Raw genomic sequence first — 23,288 nt, forward strand, 5'->3', positions numbered from 1 at the left:
GTTTGAAGAGACTGGGAGGGGGATTGCTGGCATGGTGGGGGAGGGTCAACTCGGTAGCTTTGTCGAAGGAAGTGGTATCTGAACAGTTAGTTTCTTGGTAAACTGCTTGTTTAAGAAAATGGGGGGTGGGGTAGGCAAGTCTGGTGGTGCATTTTAAGGTTTTAAAATAGCGATATTTTATATTTTAAAGGAAATAAAGTCTTTTTAGTTAATCTATAATATTTATTATAGTATTCGATAAGGGCAGAAATACTGTTGCCAGCATCTTGTAATCAATCGTTTGAACCAGTTTGAAAGGTAAAGGGGGTAGGCATTTTGAAACTGGGGGTCAGTTGAGGAAGGACAGTAGGAGCTTCATCCGTTGTTACATTTTCGTTTATTCAACTCTTCTAGCCATTGGTAGTGGACTTTTAAAATGTCAGGGTACAAGTCAATATGATATGAATTTACCTTTTTTCTCCCACTTGTCCTTCTTTCTCCACCCCACCCCCTGCCCGCGCCGGCTTTTTTTCTCTCCCACCTCTTTCTTTGACTCTGCTGCCGCCTATCCTGGCGGCTCCTCTTCACCTCCCCTGCCTGGCGATCCCCTCCCCCTCCTGCCCTATGTCCTCCAGCTCTTGGGGAACAATCGCCACTGATTGAGGTTCACTCTATGTTAGGCTGGAAAACTGGGCTGTTATTTAGGAAGTCATTAATCACATCTCCTCCCCCGGAAAGAGATGGCAGAGAAACCTGTGAAGTACAATTCCTTACCAACCCCCTCTAAAATTTTCCAAAATGGTTTACCTAAACACAATTTGACTATATGAAGGTGAAAACGATTTTTCTAGTAGGATTTTATTTTAAATTTGAAAAAATTTCGGGCATAATCAGGTAATTTATGTGCCTCTGCCTTTTCCTAGGTGTATGTTTTCATTATCTAAAGTTTCATGGGGATGTAATTAGGTTTAATTAGATCTTTTATAAATTATATATTTTCCTCTAAGAATTGAATTAAATATGAAATTAGCGTTCCAAGCAGGTTTACTGCCATGGAATAGCTGAATTCTTAAGGGGAAAAAAAGCGTTAACATCGGTTGTTTTATTTAAACGACCCCCTCCCATGATTTTAGTCAGGCTTGTGTGTAAGGCACGCGTGTGCACATATATGACTGCCTTTTTTTCTAAATCTATGATTCACAAGGTCCCTCCATTGTGTTTAAGTAGAAGCACGAAATCAGCATTCTGATTTATCCTAAAGAAGCGTTCCAAATTGTCTTTAAGATAACATGTTTGAGTTTTTCGTGTTCATTCATAAATTATTTTGATGTCAGCATAGATGAAATGGCGATTGGTTATCTCTTCCTCTTGCCAGCCCCTTAAGGATACGAGGTGAAATTAGTAGCAAGAAAGCATGTAATTGACAAAGTCACGTGTGCTCAGGGGGCCAGAAACTGGAGAGAGGAGAGAAAAAAATCAAAAGAAGGAAAGCACATTAGACCATGCGAGCTAAATTTGTGATCGCACAAAATCAAGATGTTAGATTGATGCAGAAGATCACTCCGTTCCAAAGGGAAAGTTTTCATCTCACGAGTTTGGAGCTGAGGGCCCGTGGGGCAACATGGCCGAAGGTTAATTTTCTTTTCTATTGTTTTACTGTGAATTTCTTTCTTCTTTTCTCCTCCCCCTCCCCCTCTCCCACCCTTCTTAGACCGTCCCCCCCTTCCCCTTTTACCCCAATACTGGGCATTACCTCCCAACCCCCCATCACGCAGTGGGGCTTTCTGCAAACCTATTGTTATAGATCTCCAAAAATGTTTTGTACCGCCCACACTGATTCACAACTTGAAAAGCTTTCAGGGGGCTATTGTTTGAATTGTGTGAGTGTGATTAAGCGCAGTTTCAGTTAGTGATTCCAAGAAAACTTTTATACACCTGCCCCCTCCCCCATTCCACCCCAACTTTAATTGAAAGTTATGGGGGGGAGGGGAATGCACATTGCAAATAACGCTGGATTCAGTGCTGCCCCATGTGCCTTAACTAGTAGCTCTAAACCATCTTCACGATTTCTCTTTCCTCCTCGTGCCCGCCGGAGAGAATAGTTTCGCTGAAAATTTCTCTTTGTCAATGGGATCAGTATTAAATCAGCAATATACAAGTAAAGTATCGCATGCTGTAATGTAAAATGTGGCTGAAAAATGGAGTTAAATGAATAAGTACACGTATGTATAGAAACGTGGAAGTTGGTGTGATCGATAGAACAGTGTGGCTTCCCCCTCCCCCGCTTTCCTTTTAACCCTTTTCATTTTAAGTATTTTCTGTGGAGAAAAGAAATCAAACCATTAAAAAAAATTTTTTTTTTCTGTTACCCTTCCCCCCCAACCCCAGGCAGGCAATTTTTTTTTTTTAATCTTTGAATGCACATTGAATGGGAATACAGACTGACTTTTTTGTCCTGTTCCTTCTCAGGCGGGGCTAGCAAAGGTGGTGGAGAAGAGCCCGGGAAGCTGCCGGAGCCGGCAGAGGAGGAATCCCAGGTTTTGCGCGGAACTGGCCACTGTAAGTGGTTCAATGTGCGCATGGGATTTGGATTCATCTCCATGATAAACCGAGAGGGAAGCCCCTTGGATATTCCAGTCGATGTATTTGTACACCAAGTAAGCCAAACTTTTTTGTCCCCCTCTTCATCTTTTTCCATGTGGAGGAGCTGATCGGTAGTTATGCCAATAGACGTACGATAAGATGTCCTTCGGTATATTGAAAGACAAAATCTTCCCTGAAATCACTAGGTAGTCCAACGTTTAGGGTACGTGTATGGGCCTTTTCCTGGGTTTTCTGTCTAAAGAGAAAAGAAAATATTTGAAATTTCACTATATATATTAAGGTTGACGTTATTAGCATTTCCCCCTGCTTCATTCTACAGCGAAATAGTGTTCTTGTTGTTTCCGGTATTACCTATACAATATACTTTGTCGCCTGTATCTGGTGAATGGGTAGAAAAATGAAGAAACATGATCATTTTAAGGTTGAAAAAACAAAGCGAAACAGTTTGCTGTGGAAAGAAATGTATAGATTGCCTTATTTTAGACACCTCTAGTCACAGTAGCTCCCTTTATTATTTCATCGCTGCCTGTCCTGTAATCATTTTGTAGATTCAGATCAAAATAATTTGACTTCATAGTAAAATAAAATAGAACACTGTTGGCCTAATGTGGTTGTAAAGAAATGCGTGCAATAGAGGGATGCTTGATAAACATTTTAGAAATGTGCTCCGTGTAGTCATTGGTCTACGTATACTGTCTCTTTAAGAGACTGAACTCAAAAAAACATGTGGCCAGAGGCGGCTCTTGCTTGTGTGTTTAAAATGTGCTGGTCTGCTACTTGGGGTAAATTTCCACCTTTGCTCGTATTGTGTTGTAATTTTTAAAGATGTTTTAATACCAAACAGAATTTCATTGCTTCCCATTTTCAAAATTTTACCCAGGAAATAATGAATTAATACTTCTGCCTTTACTCCTCTCTACTGCTTAATCCCTTTATAGTAAAAAAGATACTTTTATGGAAGCCGGTTGTTTCCTCAAAAAAAGGTAAATATAAATTTTCTGTAGTTAGAAATAAAGAGGTTTACGACTAAAGAGGTTTATTTTGGCATGATAATCTAAGTTAAAAAGAATTGAATGAAAGGCTGTTAATACTACAGATTGACTGACAGATACATGGGTGAAATATTTGGTATATTTGCTTGAAAAGTATATATTTGATACTGTGTTGCATGTTCCTAGTAATATTTATACCCCCTTCCCTAAGGAATATCATCTTCAAATTAAATATATAAACAATAGAAACATATGAAACCATTCTGTTTTGATCTGTTGTCCTGTGGTGCTTGGTAGCTTCCTGACCTTGCTGTGTGGTGTGTGTTTTCCTTTCCTGAAGGCCTGGCCATCATTATTGGCTGTTTATATGTGGAAGGATCAGCATAATCTGTGAATTGAAACAGGGTTTAAGTACACAAATACAAGTCCACATACAGACTACTGGATTTTATGCTTCCTATTTTATAGTGCAAAATGAAGCTACATTTTCTGTTTTTTCCCCTCTAAGACTGGATGACAAAAATCATAGACAAATCCATTTTCTCTCAGGCTCTTTCTTCCACCTTTGAACCTTCTTTAGGTTGTTAAATTGTTTTTTATGATCTCATAAATTTGTTTTATAGATGAATGAAAAAAATAACCCTTCTTTGTCTGGTCACGCCTTTTTATAATTTGATTTTCTATGTTTACCTTCTAAAATATTCATCAAATGTTAAGATATTTTATTAACCAATGTTAATGTTTAGAACAACAAGACATTTGTGTTTATACTATTTAATGATTATATATTGATAAACATTCCTCTATTCACTGAATTAAAACATGTAGCTGCTGAAGTTTTTTAAATATATAGCTGTTTCTATACTATAAACATTGATTTTTAAATAGTTGACTTAATATTCAGTTACATACAGTAGTATATACATACAGTTCATGTATATATTAAAAGGACAGTATTAAATGATGCCTAGTTAAAGAGGTTTCTTATATTGTAATATACATAAATTGTATATAAATTGTATGAATAATTGTTTTGAAGAAGGCAGGAATCCTACTGATGTTAGCTAAGCAACTACAAGTAACAGATGGTTGTAAATGATACAGGTATTATGTGTGCATCACTTATGGAATAAGGTTGCAATTCAAGACGATTTCATAGAATTTTAAAAAACATTTTTATTATTATTTTAGAGGCCTTTTTAGTTTTATAAGCATTTTTGAAAACATACCAGGTTTTATGTCTATGTACTATTTTGTTGTGAAAGGATATGTATCATAGGTGATTAGGAATTTTAAATGTTCAACTGGACCTATGTCTACTCAAAATTTTTAAAATATATGACATAGTTTTTTTTGAAGTGTTTGGAAGTACATGTGTCACTGGATTTTTTTTTTGAAGTATTCTGAAACATTTTTAATAATGTATATTTGGAGAAATAAAAAACAAATTATTTGTGTCCTTAATAAATACATAAAAATTTATGCTGAGGAACCTAGGATACTTTTTCTCTTAAAAATATTGATTGCATGTAACAGCATATCAAAACATATTCAGTTGCTTCAAAATAAAGAGAATATATATATGTGTGTGTTTTAAAATTGAGCTGTGTATTTGTAGTTATGTATATTTATAGTTACATAACTCTACTTAAAATTTATTGGCAGTAATACCATCAAACTTTCTTGTAGTTCCTGTGATGTCACCAAATCCTCAAAAAGAAACACATGCCTAGGTGCTGTACTTTGTCTCTCTTTAGTCTCTCTTTAGACATGTTGATAAATGCTGTGAGATTCTGCTATTTGAGGATGGTATGTAACCATTGATGGTTTAAAATGACAGTCTTCATTTGATTTTCTAATGTTAATTTGTAATTTAAATAATCATATTTTTATGATGTGAAAATATATATTCTGACCCATGTTAATTGTGAAACATTGATATAGTTCAATAATGAATATTTTATTTTTAAAAAATTAACAAAATATGTAAGTATTATATTTGTGAATTTTGTCATATCTCACTGTTGAAGTTTTTAAAAAATGTTTAATAAAATAGGACAATTTTGATGATTTTATTTTTAAATATATTTAAGAATTTCTCGAGTAATACAAACACAGATTTGTTTCAAATGAAGTAAGGATATACGTGGTTAATACAAATTTGTTACGTCTAAATTCTTTTATTTTTTTTTTGAGGTGGAGTCTCACACTGTCACCCGGGCTGGAGTGCAGTGGTGAGATCTCGGCTCACTGCAACCTCCACCTCACGAGTTCAAGCGATTCTTCTGCCTCAGCCTCCTGAGTAGCTGGGATTACAGGTGCCCGCCACCACGCCTAGCTAATTTTTTGTATTTTTAGTAGAGATGGGGTTTCACTATGTTGGCCAGGCTAGTCACGAGCTCCTGACCTTGTGATCTGCCTGCCTCCCCCTCCCAAAGTGCTGGGATTACAGGCGTGAGCCACCGCGCCCGGCTTTAAGTCTAAATTTTTACTAAGGTGATTTCATAAATCAGAATATGATTATTTTGTAAGTGCAAGTAATTAATACTCTTACCAGTTTCTTATGTTTTTTAAAATCACAGTTAGATTGTAGGATAACATTTACATTACCTGGAAAATGTTACTGGCAGTTTTTTGAAATGTTAAAAGTTTTTAATAAGACTTAAATATTTGATGGTACTTTAGAGGAATAGAATGGTAATTAAATATTAGATCTCTTTTGGAGAAGGGCAACGTTAACCTAATAACTACCTGTTGATGTTTGTTATATAGGTTTTTCTATAGATTTTGATATTTATTTCCAAAGTCATTATCTTACCTAATAAGATGAAATGATCATTTGAATTTGATTTTGTTCTGGGAAGGTGTAGAATACATTCTCCTTATTACTCTCTCCTCAGCTTATGTGCTTAATAATACTTCACATATTGGGTGTATATATACTTGGCATTCCTTGCCATCAAATATGATACAATTGTTTACATAAATGTATTTCATTTATTTCATAATGTATGCATAATGTATGTATCTCTTTTTTTCTCAAAGAGAAAGAGTAATTTCAAAATGACTGCAATTTAGCTACCATTACTCAGTAGGCCTAAATATTTATTAATAATTTACCTTTATTCATCTTCATTTACCTTACAAGTATTGGTGTTTTCTTCTTATGGTCTTTATTTTTGAATTAGATTTTGATCTTTATGGATAATTCAAATGCCCACATTAGAAAGGCTTTATATATTTTATGTTCCTTTGCTTCAAAAATATCTCAAGGAGTAATGGAAATAGAAAAAATAAAATCATTATTGTTACTGAGTTAAAGCATTAACAGTATGAGATATGAAAACATTTAGAGATGACTAGTGCTTAAATATATGAAAAATTTCTTACACATAGTTCAATCAATTGATCTAATATAGAGTTCTTATGTATTTAATTAATTATACAATGTAGGAAAACAAATTTATTTCAGTATATTCATTTTTAAGGGCTTTTCGTAATATTTCATTGCTAATTAATTAACCATGTTTAGTTTTGTTATAGTTAAGCATAAAATCATTTTTCACATGAAGAATATGTGTGATTATTGTTATTCTCTGGGCTGCTTAAAATGCCAATTAAAAAAAATTAGACATCTTGGAAACTTGAAAATGTGAACATAAGCAGCTCATTTGTATAGTGAGTTACGTATTTTAATATTTTTAAAATGGTTTATAACCTACCAGATTTTTAAGATGAATTGCCCAGTTGACCATTTTCAGAGAATCTCAAGCTGAGTGCTTTAAGGCCGTTTAATCATAACATCACATTTAAAGGCATTTTATTTTTAATTTTTTTCTTGAGACAGTATCTGGCTCTGTCGCCCAGGTTGGAGTGCAGTGGCGCGATCTCTGCTCACTGCAACTCCGCCTTCCGGGTTCACGCCATTCTCCTGCTTCAGCCTCCTGAGTAGCTGGGACTACAGGCGCCCGCCACCACGCCCGGCTAATTTTTTGTATTTTTAGTAGAGACGGGGTTTCACTGTGTTAGCCAGGATGCTCTCGATCTCCTGACCTCATGATCCACCCACCTCGGCCTCCCAAAGTGCTGGGATTACAGGCGTGAGCCACCGCTCCTGGCCAGGCATTTATTATAAAACAAAATTTTATAAGATTTCTTAATGTAGCCCTAAAGATACTTTTGATTTTCAAGTGGTGGTGCATTTCTCAGACTCTTTTTCATGTATTTAAGTCCTACAAAGACATTCTGATTCAATTTAAATGTGAAATGTGAATTGGGTACATATTGAAGATGTAGGCCTTTCTCCTGTTTTAAAGATTATTGGTGTACTTCTTAAATATTTTTCTCCTGCCTTTTTAAAGAGCAGTTTTAGGTTCACAGCAAAATTAAGAGGAAAATACATAGATTTTTCCATGTACCCTTGCCCCTTCAAATGCATAGCATCCTCCATTATCAACATCCCCTACCAAGAGTGGCACATTTGTTTCAATTAATGAATGTACATTGACACATCATAATCACACAGAGTCCATAGTTTATATTAGTGTTAGCCTTTGGTGTTGCATGTTCTCGCTAATTTTCAATTCCTCTTTTATTTTAAAAGACTATTCACAACAAATGAATGCAGTAAATCAAAGAATAATTTTTTAAATAAAAATATGAGTGTCAAACCACTTACAAGTATTCAGTGTAACCTTTTAAAGCATGTCTTTAACTTATCTTAGAGTTCTTAGGTTTCATGAGAAATTAAAAGCTTATTTGTTATCTGCGTTCACCTTGGTAGATTAAAAATTGAGTCCTTCACTGTAATTTTTGTCGCTTTCAGGCAGCAACAAAACATTATTTGGATTTGGTTTAATTCTTCCTATTCAGAGATAGTTAGAAATATTACAGATAGTTATGTCTATTTTAACCGAGCAGCTCTTTTGGTTTGTGATTAACTTAAAAGTTGCTACTTAAAAATAAGATGCACTGTGTTGTTTTTGTTTTTTTGAGACTAAGTTACCCAGGCTGACCTGGAACTCCTAGCTAGTCTCAAGAGATACTCCCTCCTCAGCCTCCCTAATAGCTGTGACTACAGGCATGCACCACTGTGTCCAGCTTGATGTACTATATTCTTACTTCTAAACTGAGAATAACCTAAACAAAGTGAAGATACTTCTGATCAATTAAACTGGAAAGTTATCTTAAATGTTATATTCTATAGACTTGATTTGGAATGAAATATGGGATATTTTATCATTATCAAAGACTATCAGTTCTTTATACTTTGAGCTATTTCCCCTGAGTTTTGAGTAACAGGAAGTTCAGCTTATTTAATACATAGTTACAATAGATGGCATTGTACCATATACAATGCATAAGAAATTCAACTGATTTATATTCCTCCCTAAAATAATTGATTATAGCATCTTCTAATATCATAAAAGTTGATAACAGTAATGTGTTTAAGAAAGTACATTGCAGGTCAGTGGGGTACATTTAAAAATGATCTTTTAATGAGTAGTTTATCAAACAAGTAATGAAAGTACCATGTTGCATTTTGATACATCAGGATACATCTAATCATTTATCTCAAATTGGAGGACAGTCTGATTATTGCTTCTTCTTTTCCAATATCTAAATATTTGACAATTTGGAAATATTTTCTAAATAAGATTTACAAATAATTGATAGATTTAGTGTTATAATTTTTTCTATAATTTTCTGTTACCTGGAGTAATACCTAACTTTTAAAGTTGTTTTGAAGAGTAGAGGTAATGTTATATAACTGCCTAGTAAGTGTCTGTTGAGAAAATAAACTAATGTAAACTGGTCTTTGCCAAAAGAATAATGGATAAGTTATTTTCAGTGGTGTATACTCATGGTGGATAATTAAGCTGGTCTTTTATGTGCTTTCTTTAAAATTGGCCAAAATGTGTTGTATATTAATAGTTTAATTTCCATTACAGTTGATGTTAAGGCTTTTCATTATAGTTTTGTGGCATTGAATATTGTTTTTGTTATTTAAAATAATTCTTTTGGCTGAGCATGGTGGCTCATGCCTGTAATCCCAGCACTTTGGGAGGCTGAGGCTGGCAGATTGAGCCCAGGAGTTTTAGACCAGCCTGGGTAACATGGCAAAACTCCGTCCCTACCAAAAAAATTAGCTAGGCCTGATGGCATGCACCTGTGGTCCCAAATATCAGGGAGCCTGAGGTAAAAGGATCACTTCTTGAGCCCAGGAGACAGAGGCCACAATGAGCTGAGATCACTCCATTGCACTCCAGTCTGGACGACAGAGCAAGATGGTCTCTAAAATTATTATTTTTTTTGAGATCTGGTCTCACTCTGTTGCCTAGGCTAGAGTGCAGTGGCAGGATCATAGCTTACTGAAGCCTTGACTTCCTGGGCTCAAGTGATCCTCCTGCCTTGGCCTCCCAAAGTCCTGGGATTACAGGCATGAGCAACAGTGCCAGGCCTAGAATATTGTTTAAAGTATCAGGGTGTAAACTGCAGCTTGGAAATATTTTTGTTATGCAGATATTTTGGTTTTAATAATTGTTGTAACATAAGATTTTACCTGTGTAAGATTTTACCTGTGTACATATGCATGTGTATTCATTATAAGCTAAAGAAAAAATACTGTTTTAAATAGGCCTGTTGTGATAATTTAATACCATTTTTTGGTTAATAATTATTTAATCTTTGTAAGATAGTATAGAATGATAAAGATTCTGGTCAAATCAGTATTCAAATCCCAGTTTATTAGATACCTGTAAGGGAAGTAAGTTACCTTGTCAGTGTCTCAATGGCCTATAAATCGGAGGACAAAAATAGTACCCACTTTGTATAGGGCTGTTAGGAGGATTACATGTTATTACATATGTAAAGCACCTAACACAAACTTGGCAGATAGTAGGGACTCAATGTGTGTTGTACATAATTAGTATTATAAAGGAGAAGTAGTGTGGTATTGTGAGAAAAAAAACCATGGGAATGAGTGTTTGGCTTCGGCTCTGCCAGTTGGTTGGTTTATAACTTTTGGCTGGTCACTTCCAGGGAGCTTCAGTGTTCTTATGGGTAAAATGTGATAAATAATATTTTTCATCTTTATTTTAGAGGGTTATGGTAAGGGTCAATTGAAATAATACACATGAAAATAATTTAAAAACTGTAACAATCTCAGGTTTTAGTTTTTATCTTTTTTTCAAGAGCTATGTTTTTATTAATCATTTTAATTATAAGAGTTTTTCTGGTTTTTGTTTTGAGACAGAGTATTGCTCTTGCTCAGGCTGGAGTGCAGTGGTGGGATCATGGCTCACTGCAACCTCAAACTCCTGACTCAAGCAATTATCCCACCTGAGCCTTCTGAGATGCTGGGATTCTAGGTGTGCATCACCATGCCCGGCTGATTTTTTTTTTTTTTTTTTTTGAGACAGAGTCTCGCTACATTGCCCAGGCTGGAGTGCAGTGGTGCTGTATCGGCTCACTGCAAGCTCCGCCTCCCAGGTTCACGCCATTCTCCTGCCTCAGCCTCCAGAGTAGCTGTGACTACAGGCACTCGCCACCACGCCCGGCTAATTTTTTGTATTTTTAGTAGAGATGGGGTTTCACCGAGTTAGCCAGGATGGTCTCAATCTCCTGACGTTGTGATCCGCCCACTTCGGCCTCCCAAAGTGCTGGGATTACAGGCGTGAGCCACCGCGCCCAACCTCTGGCTGATATTTTTTATTATATTTGTAGAGACGGGGTCTCCCCATGTTGCCCAGGCTGGTCTTGAACTCCTGGGCTCAAGGGATCCTCCCACCTCAGCCTGCCAAAGTTACAGAGATTTACAGGCGTGAATCACCATGCCTGGCCTCACTCTGGTTTTCTTTAGTTTTTTTTTCTACCTGGAAATTAACCTTTATCCTAGTAGTGTCTGTGCTTGTTAATGAGATTAATTCATATGCATTTTACTAATCTTCAATATAATATTAATTTCATTTATCATTATGGTATTTTCTCATGTGCTGTAAACTCACCACTTACTTAAAGGGCATAATTAGGCTTATTGATGTTCATATGTCTTGTCAGAAATTTATTGAATTGGCTGGGCATGGTGGCTCATGCCTGTAATCCCAGCACTTTGGGAGGCTGAGGGGGGTGGATCACTTGAGGTCAGGAATTTGAGACCAGCCTGGCCAACATGGTAAAACCCTGTCTCTCCTAAAAATACAAAAAATTAGACAGGCCTGGTGGCACATGCTTGTAATCCCACCTATTTGGAAGGCTGAGGCAGGAGAATCACTTGAACCCGGGAGGTGGAGGTTGCAGAGAACCGAGATCATGCCATTGCACTCCAGGCGACAAGAGTGAAACTCCCTCTCAAAAAAAAAAAAAAAAAAAAAAAGAAAGAAAGAAATTTATTGAATTTCTGTCCCAACTCAGTTTTTGTATAAACATTTTTAAAATTTTTATTTAATTAATTATTATTATTATTATTATTTAGAAACAGGGTCTTCCTCAGTCACCCAGGCTGGCGTGCAGTGGTGGGATTATAGCTCACTGCAACTTCGAACTCCTGGCTCAAGCAATTATCCAACCTGAGCCTTCTGAGTAGCTGGGACTACAGGCGTGCACCACCATGCCTGGCACATGCCACTGCGCCTGGCTAATTTTTAAAATTTTTTGTAGAGACAGAATCTTGCCTTGTTGACCAGGCTGGTTTAGAACTCCTGGCTTCAGGTAATCCTCCTGCCTCTGCCTCCTTAAGTGCTGGGATTACAGATGTGAGCCACTTTGCTCAGCTTGTATAAACATTTTTGGAAATGTAAATCAACAAGATGGCTTAATGTCATAGAAAAGTATTAACTTTTAAAAAATGATTATAAAAATCGTGGTTCAGTAAAGCCAACTAATTTTTATTGATCATGTACTCAGTGAAACACTGTTGGTTTGGTATTTTCATTTTAGCAAAATTTAAAATAAGTTTTTTCCAGTTAATTCTCATTGTTTGCATATAAGGCATAAAAGCAAAGGATCATTTTTCCTGTGTTGTATTCACTTCCTTTTACGAAGTCTAATTATACAGTCTCTACCAATTTAATTTTGGGATAGCTAAGATAAAAAGCAAATATTAGTTTTAAAATTTTGAGCTAAATGCAATGATTTCTCAGTAGTATTAAAATATGTTTTTCACATTTCATGTGGAGAAACTGTTTTTGCCAGTGCTTAGAATCATTAATTTATTGTGCTATTAGTAATATACTTAATTTCTACCAGCTGCTTTAAATCTTTGTCATAACAGCCCACTTTAAAAAATCAAAACCCACTTAAATTTATTACTTTTGTTAATCTTAAAATTAGACTTTTTAAATCTTGTAAGTTTAATTTGGTAATAACTCTTAAGATTGCTATTTCGTTTTATGGTGTTATAGGATATAAAGACTCCATATAAATTTCAAATTACTTTTACTTTGGCCAAGATTTGTTGGTGATCATTTTCTTCCTTAAGCTTTTGTAAGCAATTTCCTAGGCCATTAGAGATAGTGAATAGAATGTTCCCAGATCCTATAATGCTTAAATTATTTTAACTTAGCTTATTTTTTTTTCTTCCATTCAAATGAATTGTCTTTATCCTTAGTTCAGTCTGTAACAAAAGTCTGGCAACATAGGTTATAGCTATTGCTTTAAATATTTAATAGATCATTAACATATTGTAAAGCTTGGAATGAATTATATCAACTTTTCTTCCTGTGTGATTTAAATAATACATGATTTTGCTTATGATATATAAGCACTGATCCTTCCAAGTTAGTAACACTTTTCAGCAGCTCCTTTAAATAGATTAAATGATATTAGAGACATATACGTAACACAGCTCAGTGTAAGCCATACATTTTTTTTTAAGTGCATCTTTTTCAATTTTCACAAGAAAAAAAGCTCCTTTCAGGGGTTGATTAAACTGTGCGTTAGAAATTTAGTCACATTATTGGCCTCATTTTTTAGCTCTCTAATTAAAAATTTTCGTTGAATACTCAGTCTAAGGACACTTGGATTTGCATGTTTGCCCCTTTCACTGTTTCCTCCCCCATGCCATTGAAGAATTTTGAATGGTGAGGAATTTGTGCCCTTTGGCTCAGGTTGCAGGCCCACTTGATCAAGCCACAGAAGCCAGGGTCAGAACTATTCATTGCTTATCTTTTCCTTGGGCCACTTGTAAAGCCTGCTTTCTGCTCTGGGAAACAAAACAAAACAACAACAACAACAAAAAAAAGCCCCACAAACAACTCTTTATATTGGACATGTATAAAGCCTGCAGTATAAAAATGGGCACAATAGTTGATTCTTTATTGGGACTCTCCATGGGTTAATTTTGTTATCTTTAGAAGTTTTTCATTGCATTGCAGCTTATTTGATGTATATACTTTAAATACATGTTATTTTATATGGTATGGTATCCTGTTGGTAGTGAAAGTGTGGTCATATGATGTTTTTCTCTTAGGTTGAGATTTACCACTTTTGAAATGTAATGATTACTTTTAAGTAAATTGAATTAATTTGAATGAGAGCTATAAAAAGCCCTAAAGTATTTTATTTTGATGTGCTTAATTTCTAGCATTTATGCAGACATTTAAAGCTTCCCTGAATTAATAACAGCACAAGTTTATGAGCTGTTCCAATAATGGTGCAAAGACTACATCTAGACCCAGGTTTAAACAAACACAAAACACTTTGTTCTTATCTTAGCATCCTTTAAAAGTATACAGCTCTGGTTCAGGACCTCAGGACCACCCATCACACTGGACATTGGATACTCCTATTTATTCAAGAGGCTTGTGAAGTATCTGTGTGCCAGTGGGGGATGGTGTGTGTATCTGTATAAGGAATCACAGTTAGGTGATTTTACCTCAGTAAAAGCTTCAATATTGTTTATATACTGAATTTTGTCCCTGAAGAATTTTCTAGTTGTAAAACCTAATTTACACTAAATGCTTGTTAATTTATTTAAGTTCTGGCTGCAGTCTTCGCATTTTTGATGTTTTCAGAAGGCTAAAATGGGCCCCTATTAAGATTAATCTTAATTCAGTATAGTTTTTTGGCTTTCAGGCCCCACCCATTAGCTTTGGATAGCTAATACCAAGCTTTTGTTTCTTCCTGTAGAAAGGAAAGGAAAGAAAACTTTCTCTTTTATTGCTTAAGTCATGTGACTTCCCTTTTAGTTAGTCACAGATGGGATTGCAGTGAATCTCAGAATGAAGCATAAAACTTTGAGAAAATATTTATCGATATGTGTCTTGTTTAATTTCATATGCTTTACCTTACATTACATCCATGCTGTTGTTTTTTAGGAAGCTGAAAAAAATTACTACTAAATAGATTTTTAAAATAATACGGACCTTTTAATCTACCGTGGTAGTTTCTTAGTTACTTATTTTTCTATCAGTTATCTTTTAGCATCATTTGAGGTTTCTAAACTGTAACTTGTTTCTCAGAACTCATAGTGTAGAGAAAGTAGGGGTGGTGGTTGGGAGACATTAGCAAGAAATAATTGCTGGCAGAATAAAAGAAAGAAATACGTTATAGGACTACATGTAAAATACAAGAGGGAATTAATTAGATGTATTTCTTCTTGCTCTTCTGACCCACCTCTTAACAGTTAGCATAGGGTAGCTAGCTGTTTGGAAGAAAATCCTATCCACCTCCTGTGATATTTATATACTTTTTTTAATAAAGTTAAATGAGGATAAGTGTTTGATGCTTATTCCTAATTTGGTGACTTAGTCATGATGCTCTAGTTTATTGTGAACCATTAAATATTTGATCTTTAAAGTTATTTTAATTTGTTCTTAAGCTACTTGTATTCAAATGTTTAAATTCTATTTTAGTGAACAGTATAACTGTGTCCAAATAATAACTAAAATATTTGAAACAATAGTTTCAAAAATAGTACCTTCTCTGCCATTGATTTTTAAAATATGTCATTTATTGGCACATATTTTCGTGCAAATAAGTACTTTTAAAAGACTTTTAAGAATACTGTATAGACCACCCTTGACATAAGTAATTACATTTTAAAATCTAATAGGCATTTTTGTTTAAAATATTTTATTTCAATGAGTATTTATTGTTTACATAAAAAATTCTTCCTTAAATTTTCAGTCTTATAGATCTTAAAAGACAATGATATTTGGTCATATGATCTTCCTATCAGTCCAAGATAACTTTTAAGTTAACTAGATTTATAAATACAATCTTTTGGTCTGCTTTTAGGATGAATAATGAGAGAAACAAAGTCATCTTTTCATTTTTAGTAGTGTTTTGTGGTAAGTTTATTTTACCTTTAAAAGTTAAATACAAGATTTGTTGAGCTACATAGAAAGGCTACTTAAGTTTCTGTTGATAACAGTGGGTTATCAACCTTTCAAGAACTAGGATCAGGTATGAAGTCTAATTAATGTATTGGCCCATGCTTTCATTGACATTAAAATTTACAGCAATTGATTTATTTTTTTATGTCCTCTACAATTGAATGTTTCAACTTCTGTTTACTTAGTTAAATTTAAATTTTTATTGATATTTTAATTAATGCTTAAGTTGTCACTTAAATTTTGCTTTTTGGAAAGGTTTAGGATAGTAAATCTTTCAAATCCATGATCCTCCCTCATTTGTCATTTTGATTAGCAAGGGATATAGAAAACACTAACAACTATTATTAAGCATTTAAATCTAGTACTAACATTTATTGTTGAAATTATTTGTATCCTAGTATTACTGTTATTTATTTATTTATTTATTTGAGATAGGGTCTTGCTCTGTCTCCCAGGCTGTAGTGCAGTGGCGCAGTCTCGGCTCACTGCAGCCTCCACCTCCTGGGTTCAAGTGATTCTCATGCCTCAGCCTCCTGAGTATCTGGGACTACAGGTGCACGCCACCACACCTGGCTGATTTTTGTATTTTTTAGTAGAGACGGGATTTCACCATGTTGGCCAGGCTGGCCTTGAATGCCTGACCTCAGGTAATCCACCCACCTTGGCCTCCCAAAGTGCTGGGATTACAGGTGTGAGCCACCTTGCCTGGCCTACTGTGAGTTTTAAAATAAAAAGATAAACAAAAGCCTGTTTTTAAGGAAGTGCTACCTTGGTTTTTTTGTGTGACCCAGGCTTTAAAAAAAAATACATAACAAAATTTGGTATTAATTAATAACAACATTTGGAAGTGAAAGGGGAAAAGTTGAGGGTTTTCCCCTTTATACCTGTTTTCTTCCTTCAGAATTTTTCTTTAACTTCTGTGGAGAAAAGTAGTTTTTAAAATGAATGTATTCAGGTTTTAAGCATCTTCATGTTTTGTCAAAAATACAAGGTTAGTTTGCTGGGGTGGGTAACACCATTAGATGTGTTGCTACTTGTTTTTGTGTGGGTTATTGTAAGTATAAGTTTAATGAATTATTTGATTTCTAGATTTTCTTTCTCCTAAAATAAAATTAATACTAAATAAATAAATTTTCAAATAGTTGAAATATGTGAACAGCCAGATAGATGCAGATATCTGTTTCAGTACATATTTTTTAGAGTTCAGTATTTATTTTTTTGGATATTATATTTAAAAGGATATGATATTTAAAAATCTTAACAAATGAGGCCGGGTATGGTGGCTCATGCCTGTAATCCCAGCACTTTAGGAGGCTGAGGTGGGCGGATCACCTGAGGTCAGGAGTTCGAGACCTGCCTGGCCAACATGGCAAAACGCTGTCTCTACTAAAAATATAAAAATTAGCCAGGTGTGGTGGCAGGCGCCTGTAATCCCAGCTGTTCGTGAGGCTGAGGTGTGAGAATCGCTTGAACCTGGGAGTCAGAGGTTGCAGCGAGCCGAGATTGTGCCACTGCACTCCAGCCTGGGGGATAGAGTGACACTCTGTCTCAAAAAAAAAAAAAAAGTCTTAACAAATGATGTTTGGGAAATTGTCTTGTTAGATGGTGACCACTTTTCCATCCTCTCTGTCTTTAGTTTTAAAAATGTCTGGTCACTGTTAAGCCATTAATATTCCTAATAGTAATTCAGAATTTCCTTTGATATTTAATGTTGAATATATATTCCAAAATCTCTTAAAACATGGGATAATGTTTTCAGAGTGAGAATTTAATAGAATAGAATTCATTATTTTGATTTATATTGTTCAATTTTCAGTGTAAATTGAATAATGAAATTACCCAAATTATTGGTGCTTTATGCTGTCCCCAAATTATTCCCTGCCCTATCATTATAATTTGATCTGCCACCAGGAATTATTACAGCCTTAAGTCGTCTCTTTCTTTAGTCTCCTTCTCCTCTCTTTTTTCCTCCTCCCCCCACTCCCCTTTGGGAAGGAAGCCTGAGGCCCTGGCTTTAGAGATACCAGGAAAAAGCAATCACTCAGCAGAAAGTGTCTGTCTTTAGCAGAAGTGTCGTTCCTTGACGAAGAGTGTAGTTGAGAAGAAGTTAATAACAGATAATAGAGTTTTAGAATTTATTCTAATTACTTTAGAATTTATTTTTGATACAGCTGGCTATTGCTGTCATGAAAAAATGTCTGTTCTGTCTCTTTAGGTATTAGCAAAGTCAAATCCAGTTCTTTACCACATTTCTGTCTTTACTTAGGTTTGGTTAATTCTTTTATACCTTTTCTAAAGGCTAATGATTTTTCCAACATTGAAGAAGAAAGAGTTCTTAACAAGAGCATTGGATGGTTAAGTAGTTTTAACATTTTTACACACTTATTGATATTACCTGAATTTCCAAAGAAAGTATATATGAAATGTTTTACTGTACATCATTTGTCATCTGAAGATAGTGTTTGTGTTTCTAGCATATTTTTACCTAGAAGAAGGCTTTTAAAACCACAGACTGACTCATAAAATAGGCTAATAATGAAAATAAATTGATATCAATAGATGTAGAAATGTTTTAATTGTTTACTTCCTTAGAAAGACTGTTTGTGAAGTTGGTTGTTTTCCAAGATGAGTAAAAAAATGCAGATTCAGGTTGGGTACAGTGGCTCACACCCGTAATCCTAGCACTTTGGGAGGTCGAGGTGGGCAGATCACCATGTCAGGAGTTCAAGACAAGCCTGGCCAATATGGTGAAACCCCGTCTCTGCTAAAAATACAAAAATTAGCTGGGTGTGGTGGCATGTGCCTGTAGTCCCTGCTACTTGGGAGGCTGAGGCAGAAGAATCGCTTGAACCTGGGAGGCGGAGGTTGCAGTGAGCCAATATCATGCCACTGCACTCCAGCTTGGGCGACACAGCAAGACTCCATCTCAAAAAAAAAAAAAAAAGAAAAAGAAAAAAAGAAAATTCAGATTCAGTGGAATAAACTCTATAAACCGTAGTGTAAACTCCCTGAAGGGCCCAAGTTTCTTCCATTGCGGTATAGGTATTTCTTTTGGCTTTTCTTCATCTTAAAGAGTAATCTCTTTACTTAGCTCCACATGAATTTAAGTCTCTTATACTTGTTGACTAGTTTGAAAAACTTACACAGTATGGTTATGAATCTCACAGCTCACAATCTATATATGAAAGATAAAAAAAATAAATATTGCATAAAACTTACGTTTTATGGAAAGAATCAAGGATATTTTGAATTATTATTATTATTATTATTATTTTTTGAGATGGAGTCTCACTCTGTTGCCCAGGCTGGAGTGCAGTGGCACGATCTCTGTTCATTGCAACCTCTGCCTCCCAGGTTCAAGTTGTTCTCCTGCCTCAGCCTCCCAAGTAGCTGGGATTACAGGCACCTGCCACCACACCTGGATAATTTTTGTATTTTTAGTAGACATGGGGTTTCACCATGTTGGCCAGGCTGGTCTTGAACTCCTGACGTCAGGTGATCCGCCCACTTCGGCCTCCCAAAGTGCTGAGATTACAGGCGTGAGCCACCGCGCCCAGCCCTGGATATTTTGAAATTTTTGAATATTATTTGTTTAAAGGATAAATACAAACATAATAGCTAAGTAGATTTAAGGTAATATAAAAATTGATCATTCTGTCGAAAGATAGAGTAATATCTTATCTTTGATTATTCTATAATAGAATATCTAATATTTAATAATATCTAAAAATACAGTTAGATTATAATCATTTGTTCCTCTCTGTTAATTCCTCTGCAGATTAACATTTGTAGTTATTTTATAGTTTTATACATTAACATTTATATTTTGTTTTAAATGCTTGCTAACACTAAATCCCCACTACTACCAATCCCTAGGCATAGACCCCAGTTTGCCACCATTTTTTCTTAACTGATTATCCAAAGCCACTGGTTTAACTTCTCTCTACCAAGCCTTCTGTTCTGCCACCTGAGAGAACTGTTCAACTATAGACAGTATTGTAGTAATTATGAAAATTTTGATATAGTGACAACACAGTGATGATAGTGTAACTTTTACAGAGTGCTTGCATGTGCCAAGTACTGTGCTTTTTTTTTCTTTTTTTTTGGACGCAAGACCTTGTTCTGTCTCCCAGGCTGGAGTGCAGTGGTGTGGTGTGATCATGGCTCACTGCAGCCTCATCCTCCCCAGGCTCAGGTGAACCTCCCACCTCAGCCTCTTGCATAGCTGGGACTACAGGTGCGTGCCACCATGCTCAGCTAATTCTTTTCTTCTTCTTCTTCTTTTTTTTTTTTTTTTGTAGAGTTGGGGTTTCACCACGTCGTCCAGGCTGGTCTCAAACTCCTAAGCTCAAGCAATCCGATTACCCCACCTTGGCCTCCCAAAGTGCTGAGATTACAGGCATGAGCCACTGTGCCTAGCCTAGTGTGCTATGTCCTGATGAAGAAAATGATCATAGAATGGCTGATTGCCTAATTTCACACAGTTGAGCCAGCAGTGTCACCCCAGGGTAGTGCTCTTAAATCTCTGGGTTCTAGCCACATGTAGCTGTTTTAATTTTATATTAATTACTTACTTTGTGCTAGGTGCTAAAGATTCAGGTATGAGCAAAAAGCAGAGAGGGTTTCTGACCTCGTGGAGCTTAAAGACTAGTTAAGGGATCAGACAATTTCATCACACAAATGAAAGTAAAATTAGTATGATAAAGACAAGGTACATGGTGCTTTGCATGTATAATGGTGAGGGGCCTGACCTAGTCTCAGGGTGAGAAAGGCTTCTTTGGGGCAGTAGATTTGTGATGAAGAATGAAGAACGAGTAGGCAAATAAACAAGGAAAAGAGCATTCTAACAGAAGAAGGAGTTGTGGGCAGAGGCTTTGTGGCAGGAAGGACAATGGAACTTTATTGAACATTAGCTTTACAAAGTGTTAAGATGACAAAGATCAGTAATATCCAGTCTCTGTCTTTAAGAGCTTATAGTCATGTGTATGCATGTGACCAACAGTTCCCACAGAGTGTAAAGTGCCAAGATAACAGCATTGTGGTAGCAATTGCCAATGCTTTTAGTTGCAGGGAAGGCTTTTACAAAGGAAGAGTCCATTTGAGATGGGCCTTGGAAATACCTAGGAAATTGTCAGCCTGAGAAGGCATTTCATATTGTAAATGAGCAAAGATGTGGAGAGGTTAAAGAGCCTCTTGGAAAGGCCAATGTCTGGTTAGAGCATGGGGACTTGATGGGTGAAGGGCAAAAGGGAAGGAGGTGGAAGATGAAGCTCAAGCCAAGGTTGGGACCAGCTTGTAGCAGGCAGGCTTATACTTTTTGTTAGCCCTTACCCTGAACATTGCTATTGGTGAATTTATTTAAAGTATTCACTCTCTCAGAAGTTGCATTGCCTATTTGTTTTCTGAATAAAATTTAGACATCATAGCCAGATATTTAAGCTCTTCATGATCTGATTGAATCTACTCCTTATTTTTATTTTTTTTTTGAGGCAGGGTCTTGCTCTTTCAGGTTGAAGTACAGTGACATGATCATAGCTCACTATGTATAATCTTGTACTCCGAGACTCAAGTGATGCTCTCACCTCAGCCTCCTGAGTGAATCCACTTTTAAAATCTTTCTTCTCATATTTCCTATTTAAATTGTTTGCTTTGTCAAATAGGACCTGCCATTTTGTAAACACACCCTTCACTTCTTTGCCACTTTTCCTTTGCACAAACAGTATTTTCTCCCAAATTCCTTCCTACATTCACTTTTGGAAATCATTGTCATCCTTCAGAACCTCGCCCCAAAGTCAGAACCTTCTTTCTCCAAGGGCTTTCTAGCCAGAATTGCTTACTTCCTTCTTATAAACTTCAAAACCCTTTATAAATAATGGGTCATTTATCATAGACCGTCTTCTATTATTATTTTGTTTCCTTTTTTCTCCTACTGAATTGTAAACTCTATGTGGAAATTGTTTTATTAAGTTTGGTATTCTGACAGTACTTAGGTGTATGCCTTTCTCTTTTTGTTGTTGTTGTTGTTGAGACAGACGATCACTCTGGCAGCCAGGCTGGAGTGCAATAGTGTGATCTTGGATCACTGCAACCTCCACCTCCCAGGTTCAAGTGATTCTCCTGCCTCAGCCTCCCAAGTGGCTGGGAGTACAGGCGTGCGCCACCATGCCTGGCTAATTTTTGTATTTTTAGTAGAGATGGAGTTTCACTATATTAGCCAGGCTGGTCTTGAACTCCTGACCTCATGATACCCCCGCCTTGGCCTCCCAAAATGCTAGGATTACAGGCGTGAGCCACCGCACCCGACCAGGTGTATGCCTTTCTTATAATTCCTACTGCAGAACATTTCTTGAACAATGAAAAAAAGCATAATACATTAGGAATTTTTTTCCTGTCTTCCATTGGGTAAAAACATAGGGCTTCTAGAACATAAACTGTATTCAGTGTCCAAGAGAATATGTATTAACTCTTCTTGTTTAAGAAAACCAAGTGTTTAACCTATATTCCATCCCCTTCTAATACCACTCTTACATATTCATTATGCATTGAGTTATATACGGTAAACTGTAGAAATCCAAGATAGTTTTGGGCTACTGCCCCCCACCTTCTTTTTTTCAGTGGAAAAGATGGTGGCTTCCGTATTCTATTTGTTACTATAGTTTATCGCTAAGTCTAAAGTATCTTCAGTTCATTGGAGGGGAAGGATCTATCTGTCTAATTCTCTTTTTAAGTCCAAAAAACATTGAACTGGATGTTTAATAAATATTTTGAAGTGGCAGTCTCATTGGGAAGATGAGATGGTATTAAATGTAACTAGTAGAGGCCTTGAAATGGGAGAGACCTGTGTTTGAATCCCAACTCTAATGCTTATCAGCTGCTTGAATACCTTAACTCAGATTTCTTATTTATAGAAATCAGTAACACTAATTTTATAGGATTGTGAGGATTAGTGTTCATGTATTTTAAGTGTCTGGTCCAGTGTCTGAAAGGAGTATAAAGGTATCCTGTCTTTTTTTTTTTTAATTAAAAAAATGTAGATATGCTACAATTGCTATAATGCAGAGTGAGTCCGATAAAAGGGGTGATGGAGCCAAATCTTAATCCCTGTAGCAGGTAAGTGGGACTAACCACACAAGGTGAAATTTAATGGAATAAAAGACAGAAATTGGCACCAAAGATTTTTGTAGTGAACACTGTTGGTTGTATATCCAACATCCATTTCTTCCCTTCCTCCTTCTGATCAAAACCCTGGGTTATTTTATTCATGTATTTACCTCCATCCCCATATGCCACTGGGAAAAGTGGCTCCACCCCCAATATAAGGGGCTTAGACTTTTTAGTCTAAGCATGGCATTCTTCTGGCAACTATTGTAAGTCTAGG

General features: G+C 35.9%; 1 protein-coding gene across 3 annotated transcripts in view, besides 2 other annotated features; it reads left to right on the plus strand.

Moving 5' to 3' along the window:
• Window positions 1–23,288, plus strand: part of LIN28B (lin-28 RNA binding posttranscriptional regulator B) — a 146,307-nt gene that overhangs the window by 18,625 nt on the left and 104,394 nt on the right. For 2 of the 3 annotated variants that reach the window (XM_006715477.3, NM_001410939.1), the window contains exon 3: window positions 2,449–2,636. In XM_006715477.3, coding sequence (XP_006715540.2) covers window positions 2,449–2,636 — 188 coding nt within the window. Of the gene's footprint in view, window positions 1–1,456; window positions 1,611–2,448; window positions 2,637–23,288 lie in introns of those variants that run through there. The other variant, NM_001004317.4, reaches the window with a different exon arrangement.
• Window positions 470–1,407: an enhancer, noted in NCBI's record as "OCT4-NANOG-H3K27ac hESC enhancer chr6:105403995-105404932 (GRCh37/hg19 assembly coordinates)". NCBI's record gives its function as "activates a minimal SCP1, AML or CMV promoter by ChIP-STARR-seq in primed H9 embryonic stem cells {active_cell/tissue: H9 hESC(primed)}" and the evidence as "EXISTENCE:reporter gene assay evidence [ECO:0000049][PMID:30033119]".
• Window positions 1,408–2,345: an enhancer, noted in NCBI's record as "OCT4-NANOG-H3K27ac-H3K4me1 hESC enhancer chr6:105404933-105405870 (GRCh37/hg19 assembly coordinates)". NCBI's record gives its function as "activates a minimal SCP1, AML or CMV promoter by ChIP-STARR-seq in primed H9 embryonic stem cells {active_cell/tissue: H9 hESC(primed)}" and the evidence as "EXISTENCE:reporter gene assay evidence [ECO:0000049][PMID:30033119]".

Source organism: Homo sapiens, chromosome 6, assembly GCF_000001405.40.
Source record: "Homo sapiens chromosome 6, GRCh38.p14 Primary Assembly".
NCBI lineage: Eukaryota > Metazoa > Chordata > Mammalia > Primates > Hominidae > Homo > Homo sapiens.